Genomic DNA, 8,543 nt, shown 5'->3' with positions numbered 1-8,543 from the left:
TATCTGTAGGAGGGATTAAGGAATTTAAGAAGCAGATATGAGAGAATAGGACACAAAGAGATTATAAAACAAAGATCTGAGGTCAAACAGTGTTGGTGGGAATAGAAAACAAATGACTTATGACTTATCTGACCAAAGCAGTAGATAATCAATAGGGGCAGACATGTATTAAAGTATGCAAATCAAACTTGTGACTAGTTTTCAATTAATCTTTAGAAATGAAACCACTACATCTACAAAGATATTTGAAATAAACCAACATCTAAAAAGCAATTCAATTTTCTGACAGGAGAGTCAATAAGCTCACAGTTATTTGAGGATTTATGTATATTGAAGCTGAGATACAGGAGGCTGGGGCGGGAGCTGAGGCAGGAGGCCCACTTGAGCCCAGGAGTTTGAGACCAGCCTGGGAAACATATCAAGAGCCTGTCTCCAGAAAAAAAAAAAAAGTGCTGAGACATAGCTGGTCCAAAAAGTGACCATTAGAATTACCTTTATCATCTTTTTGGAATAATTTTTTATTAAAATTAATGTCACTTTTAAAAAAATCACCTCACCTTCTATGGGGGGGGGGGAATTCTCCAGTATTAATATTAAAACTTTATTGGAGTAATAAGATCAAATGGTAATTGCATTACTTATCTGTTACCAAAGAAACAGACAGGTCATAGAGTAGATGTTATTCTGTTGAATGAAATAAAAAAGGCTGCATTAATAATATGCAAAAAGTGTTCATAAACTTCTCAAAACACAACAAAAATACTCTAAAGAAATATTAAAACAAATTCTGCCACATTATTGTAATATTTCACCTTTTTAGGTACTTCATCTGGGAAAGCTAATTTTTTATATAGTTTCTTTCTTTTAATCCATGAAGTTACTTGTGACATTGGTAGGTGCATATTTCCAATTTTTTTTCATCATTTTGGCTATATTTAAAATGCCCACATCCATCTAATGCAAGGGTCAGCAAATATAGCCCACGAGGCTAAATGTGGTGCCTCCCGTTCACGTATGTAAAGATTTCTGGAAGCACAGCCACGCTCATTTGTTCACCTGAGTCATGTCTGTGTCACACATCTGTGGCTGCTTTGTAGCTATGATGCAGAGTTGAGTCACTGCAGCAGAAACTATGTCACCCCAAAGCTAAAAGATTACTATTGGCTGGCCTCTTTAGAGAAATAGTTGACTGACTACTGACCTAGGACTCGTTTTTCTTATTTTTATTTTCTTTATATAAAAATATTTTTATAAGTTTCTCCTTTAAAGGGACTACAAAAGACAGAGGTTTTCACTTTGTCTCTGATTTTTCAAATTCATTATCTTAATATAATTAGACAACCATGATCACTGTAATTTTAAATATCACATCTATATTGTATCATATTTTTTCTATCTGATAAAGTCACGCAGGCTTCTCTGAAATGCCAGAATATATTACTTTATGGTAGAAAGCTGTTTGTCTCACTTTTCATAAATTTTTTTATCTTTAAAACTTTTAGTGACCCAATTCAAATTCATTAAAATCTTCAATAAAGGATTACATTCATTTTCTTCAATAAAGTTGCCAAATAGAATATAAAAGTACAATGTCATAATAAATATGTTGGAGGAACATTTTTTATCGTTCAATTTCTTAGGAATTGATTACACTTGTGTTGAAACCTCTTACTGAGGGCTTCTAAGAGCGTAAAACCCTTTGGAGAGAATGCAAGACCACTTATTTTATGCTAAATACCACCCAGCTTCTCAGAGAAGAGTGCTAGGTGAGGGTCCCTATATATTCACAAATACTCTTCATTTCCAGAAGAATGGCCAACCTTAAAAATTAAGAGTGCACAGTTAACATAAACATTCTCACCATCCTTACTAGAAACCGTGATGAATGAAAATTACTGCCATAATTAGGTTGCTTAATCAAAATGTTTGAAATCCAGAAATTCATATCTTTTTTACAATGTATGTAAAAAATACATAATTGATTTTCTGGTATAAAAAAGGAATTAAGGAAAAAATATTAATTATTTAGGAACTGAATAAAATGATATTGAGATGTAATCTTATCTCTTCTGAGTGGATAAATTTTTTTTGTTTCTGTAGAGTTTTATATTATAAACTGAAAGTTCATTAAGGTCAGGCAGACAATGTTTTTATTAGGTTCACTGTTATATTACTGCACAACAAAGTATTTGGTAAATAGTTGCTCCATCAAGATTTATTAAGTAAATTAACGAGTGTATGAATGGGCAGATACAAGGATGAATGAATAGCTGGATGAAACAAATTTTGTTGTTTTACTGTATATTTGACATGGTTTCCTTTGACTTACAAAGAACCACTGGTGATCACAGCATAGATGCTCTTGACTAGAAGGAATGTTCAAATGTTGAGATAGATGAAGAAAAAAATGGAAAGTTGAATCAGTGTCTCAGCTTTATATTGATTTTATTATAAAACAAGATTTTCTACAGTCCTAGTTTTTTTTGTATTGTTGCAACATTTGAAATTATATTGTTCAACCCAGACTGATTTAAAAATTAGAAACAAGCTTTACCAGTCAATGAAAAAGTATCATTTACCCTAGATGGATTTTATTACATTTAAAAACAGTCATTACATATTTTAGTTTTAGCTTGCTGATAATACATAGCGGTGGCAAAGCATGGAATAGGGAATCACAGAGAATTGGGCTTGATTTTTATTTTTCTCCATTACTCAGTGTATGACTTTGTCAATGTACTTATATATCAATTTCGACATTACTTAAAACAGGGGCACTTCCTTATGAAGTAGTTAGAAGTTTTAAATTAGATAAAGTAAAGGGAAGGAAGGAAAGGATGAAGGAAGGAAGGAAGGGAAGAAGGAAGGTAGGGAGAGGAGAAGGAAAGAAGAACATAGAGGAATTCAAAAGAGGAAGGTAGTAGCTAAAGCAAAGGAAGGGTGATATTAAAGTGAAGACAAAAAGTTGCAGCTCTTCTGATATTTTATATCACTGAAAAAATGAATGTAACTGCCTTGATGCCTAATGTTTGTTGTAATCGGGTCAACATCCAACATTATAGCCAAATACTGGGATTTGGTAAGCTTAGTTCCTGGGTTGGAGAGTCAGCCAGATGGTAGACTGAGTACTCTTATGTTTCAAGACCCAAGAGTAAGATGAACAAGGCACATATTATATCCTAAAGCAAAAACTAGGATCACTCAAAATATTATAACTCTAAATGAATCAGAAGTAAGAATTTAAAAATAAAATATTAATTAGGCTAAGTAAAATTGATTTTAAATATATAAAAAGCTGGTTCTTAGCCAGATGCCCCTGAATATGAAGAAGGCCAGAAAGAAAATACTTGAGCTAATTAAAAAGATGCTCAATAAGAAGTTGTACTTTTGAGATATAAATATACTAGAGGTGAAAAGTGATCAATATTAATTGTAAGGGACCAATGAAGAAAAAGCACAGGAAACCCTGAAAATGATAATCCAAAGGAATGGCATGACCTAACATGAGTTACATAAAACTGAAGTGAATACAACAGATGAAAAAGTTCAAGGGAGCCACGATTAAAGATGAAAGGTAAATTGCTGAGAATACAAAGACAAGTAATTAGGTCCTTGACAGAGATAATGCTTCTATAATGAGCCCCTTGAGAATTTTAAAGGAAACAGTGAAAACAGATATGGATATTTCACTAATTGAATTACTATTCCATGTTACCCTTGACTACAATAGGAAAAATGATTGTCACATAAATTGTATGATGGAATTACAAATACATTTTTAAAAATGAATGCTATAACGTTGCCTTGGCATTCAGGAAGGATAATTATGCTATTTGTAATTAATAAAAGATATTAAACAATGCAGCTAATTTTCTTTCCATGTATAGATAAAGAAGAGAATAAGGTCTCTATTTTTTAATCTTTTTGGAATGTATTAATGTAAAGTGCTTAAATGTGAATTTAAAACGAGGCTTCCAGCCATGATGGGGTAACTGGAGCAGGACAAGCATTTCTGCCAAAACCAATTATAAACCTGGACATAATACATGATGCAACTGTATTTATTTTGGAGAGCAGGCAGGCAGCACAGGATTTTCATCCCCAAAGGAAGGAAAAACTGGCATGAACTCCACTATTGCTTGGGCTCTCTGTCTGAAGGCACTTTCTAGGTTGCATTTCAGGCAAGTGAGCCCAACAGCACAGAGATCTCAGTCTCACTGAGCTGAAGATAAAATCAGGATTGGGGGATGCTGAGGTGCTGATGGAACTTGTTGGGGCAGAGTGAAATGAGTGAAACTAGAGGGAAATGAGCTGTACAAAGAGGGGCTTCAAGAACTCTGCACAGGAGCCCCTTAGAAGAGTCTTCAGCCAAATGCCAAGCTCTGCAAATACAGGTTGACACTCCCAAAGGCCTGACAGATCAGCTCCGGGGAAGCTTTGAGTGAAATTAAAGTGAAATATGGAATAGAACAAAAAACATTTTGCGAGTGTTGAGTATTTCAAAACTAGTTAATGGTAGAAAACAAAATTAAGTTGAGGGTCCTTGGATCTTTCCAGAGGTCTCTGCATCATCTAGACTGCCGGCCAGTATACAGTCCAACGGTGGTGATCACAATGTCTGCTGCCAGACATTGTATTTCTATTTCATTTCTTTCATTTTCTCTTCCCTCCCTGTTTCCTCTCCTCTTTCCATACTCTCTGCAGCAGGATGCTCACTATCCCTTCCTCAGTGTTGGCCCAGAAGTGAGACATACCAACAAGAGATAAAGGAAGGGGGAGCTGACAGGCACTTAGAGGAGGTGCCAGCTCACCTCTCTAGATCCCATGGCATCTGGTTACTAAGAGGTTCTCACACAGATATAATCCAATATTGACTAAAATTGAGGTTGAGAGTCATAGCCTGTTAAATTGAAAGAGGTTTCACAGGATGAAACTTAACTTCCTTCTTTACAGCACGAGTTACTCTTCAAAATTCTAGGTCTATGAAGTATGTTTGTGTTACATATCTCTGCTTTTCACTTTAATTACATATTAATTTATCCACCTACATTTCTTTCTAAAAGTCACTCTCATATTAGTATGTTCTGGGAAATGTATCATTAACCTTCCTTTTATCTTGTTTTGAGACAGCGTCTTGCTCTGTTGCCCATGTTGGAGTGCAATGGCGTAATCATAGCTCACTGCAGCCTCTACCTCCCAGGCTGTAGCGCTCTTACCATGTCAGCCTTCCAAGTAGCTGGAACTACAGATGTGCCTAGCTATTTTTTTCATGCCCAGCTATTTTTTTTTTTTCTTATTGTTGAGACTACGTCTCCTTGTGTTGCCCAGGCTGGGCTCGAACTCCTGGGCTCAAGTGATTATCCCACCTGGGTCTCCCATGGTGCTGGGATTACAGGTGTGAGCCACCTGTACTTCATGCCCAGTCTGTCCATTATTATTATTACTACTATTATTTATTTTATTCCCTGCTATTTTCCACATTTATGTTAATTTTTTCACTCCTCTTGTAAATGTATTTTCATTTGAGTATAATTAGCAAGTATTTTAGTCTGCCCTAAATATATTTAATTAGAGGTAAAGGTTAAAATAAAGTTTTAATGACAAATTACAATGAAATACAAAAGATACGACATATGCCATATAACGGTTGTCAATCAATATAAGTTAATGTGATAAATGAATGTCTACAGAAAAATTGAATGTGTCTGCTATTGTGGTAAGTTGAAATTTTTATGTTTGGGGAAAATACATACTACTCTTTAAATTTTATCATAAGACAATACATAACCATTTTACTAATCTTTTTATGTGGGCTTAGATATATTGAAAATATTTTAACATTTTAAATTTATTTACATTTAACTTTAAATAGAGAAAACTATGTGGATTTACTTGAGCTGTCTTTTAAAGCTGGCATTATTTAACTTTTGTTTGACAACATTTGAGCAGGTTTTGTTTATTTTTACAAACAGTATAACATTGAGGGCAGGGCACAGAAGCTCACACCTGTAATCCCAGAACTTTGGGGGGCCAAGGCGGGTGGATCACCTGACTTCAGGAGTTTGACACCAGTCTGGCCAACATGGCTAAACCTCAACCCTGTATCTACTAAAAATATGAAAATTAGCCAGGCATGGTGGCCCATGCCTTAATCCCAGCTACTTGGGAGGCTGAGGCAGGAGAATTGCTGAAACCCAGGAGGCAGAGGTTGTAGTGAGCTGAGGCTGCATCACTGCGCTCCAGCCTGGGCGACAGAGCAAGATTCCATCTCAAAAAATAAAAATAAAAAAAAATAATAACATTGAGAACTGTGCTTCAAAAATGGCATGTGGCAATGTTTGTAAGCTAGTTGGGCCATATATCACACTTTTATTGTTCTACAAAGAGTTTGGAAATTTAGGAGAAGATTAAAAGCTATATTTATGTTTTAAAACTTGTATCTGAGGAGATTATTCAGACTTAACCAAGTAACTCCTAGATTTTTCTTTGGCACAAAAGAAAATACTGTAAATTGAAAGGAAGTAAAATTATAATTTTGGGCAAGTGTATGGAAATAAGCAAACTGATCCACATGTTAATAAACCTATTGTTAAAGGCAATTTTAGAAATAAAATGAGTGTACTTTTATAAAACCTATAGATAATTTATTCTTTGTCAGCTTTTGGCAGTGAAAAGTTTGATTAGACTGACCTAAATTCCTGTCCTTAGATGTCCTGCCTGGGCTCAGTCCCATAAAGGGTTCCTGCTCTCATATTTATGCTTTGCTTTCTTGTTCTCAATGCTTTCATCACTAGGACAATTTTATAGATGGACTAAATAAATGGCTACAATTTTTCATGCCTCCTGTATCCATTCCTTTTGGTTATATTCTCCCACGTCAAGCCTGGATTGGGCGGACAAGTAACATTTACACTTGAACAAAATAATAAATAATTATTATTTTAGCCCTAAAGCAATGGCTGCTTACTATAATAGCCCTTGTGAGATTCAGCTTTCTAGCTTTGGAGGGAGATGATGTTCTTAGAAAAATAGCCACTAAGATGTGGCAACTTGTTTTTCTCAATAGATTGTAACTGTATTCATTCCTAAATTTTGCTTCATTATTCCATCAGAGTGCATACTAAATGTTAGGATATTAGTCTTAGTACCATTAGATAATTATCTAAAATTTCTTATTTATTGCCTTAAGAGTTTAATTTTCTGCACTGAGTCCCCAGTTAGTGTGGTGAACAACTTCTGGCACAGATGGGAAAACAGAACACCACGGACTCCCTGGGTGAGTCCTGGTGTTTCTGTGTCTTCAGGAATACCAATGTGCTTCTCTGTGATTGTACCTGGTTTGGGGTTAGGGGCCATGGCTTTTGATAGAGAATGGGCAGGCAAAAGTGTGTGAGGGATTTTCTTCCTTCACCTTCTGGAAGTGAGGTGTATGGAATACAGAGTAGTGCTGTGGAGGGAGAAGACAGGAGTCTGGAAGACCTGGAAGACTCGAGTGAGCAAAAAAGGCAGCAGATCCATGTACAACACGAGCAAGACACAAGAGAAAGCCTCCAAGCAAAGAAGGGTGTGTGTCAGAGAGTGACACCAGAGCCAACACAGGCCTCAGGACAGGAAGACCCAGACCTCCTGCAGTGACTGTAAGGGATCTAGAAGATGATTCCTGTGGGACTTCAGTAAAAGAGATATTGGGGGGGGGGGGGGGTCACAGTGACGATTTCCCTGGGTTACAATGAATCTTTTCTTATGGTTGAGTATTTCTCTAAAATATTTTGTTGGAGCTTGCTAATATTAAAGATTCCATTGTGCTAATAATGCTACAAGGCTAAGCTGAAACATTGGGTTTAGTGCTAGGAGTACTTCTACATACATCTTCTTTCCTTCCGGCGTGCCGGTTCCCACATTCTAGAGTCATCTCTAACATATCGCAGGCTCGTGTCCTATTCATGATCTCTATTAACTTACTCAGATCCCTGAGTCTAGGCTGCTTATTCATACCAATGACAATGGATTACACCCAGATGAAACTTTGAAAAATGGAATAAAAACTTCAGAAAGTGTTCTACTAAATAGATAACATAGTAAATTGAACAGATTCATGAGGATGTATTTAAAACACACACACAGCATGGTGTAAAACATTTATTTGATACCTCACAGGAGGTGATTTTGTGGCAGATTAAACTACAGAGTTAATTTGAGTTTAGAGCATGACTTTTCACACAAACCGAGGCAAGCTGTTAGAACTGAGCGGTGGTCTCACTGGTCTAAATATTAATAAATCAAATAGCCTACGTAACGCTACAAATCTTGCCATGTGTCTTAGAAACACAATTGATCATGCATGAAGACTATACAATGAAGAATATAAGTAGAAAAATGGAACAGATTGAAGACATGTGCATAAAATACTTTTGATGAAAATTATGACACAAACCTTAATTAATGTCTGGAACTAATGCATCTACTTGGCTAAATTATTATAAAAGGAAATTTTAAGAGAGAAAATGACTGATGTTTAGATAGAAAGATATAATGACTCAGAA

General features: G+C 35.7%; 1 annotated feature.

Annotated features, from left to right (window-relative positions):
* Positions 468-1,667: an enhancer, noted in NCBI's record as "P300/CBP strongly-dependent group 1 enhancer chr4:181301504-181302703 (GRCh37/hg19 assembly coordinates)". NCBI's record gives its function as "activates an origin of replication core promoter dependent on BRD2, BRD4, P300/CBP, MED14 and CDK7 cofactors, with strong dependence on P300/CBP, by STARR-seq in HCT116 cells {active_cell/tissue: HCT116}" and the evidence as "EXISTENCE:reporter gene assay evidence [ECO:0000049][PMID:35650434]".

This window comes from Homo sapiens, chromosome 4 (assembly GCF_000001405.40).
Source record: "Homo sapiens chromosome 4, GRCh38.p14 Primary Assembly".
In the NCBI taxonomy this organism is placed as follows: Eukaryota; Metazoa; Chordata; class Mammalia; order Primates; family Hominidae; genus Homo; species Homo sapiens.
The sequence above is the reverse complement of the archived record's forward strand: the minus strand, read 5'-3'. Positions and strand labels throughout refer to the sequence as shown.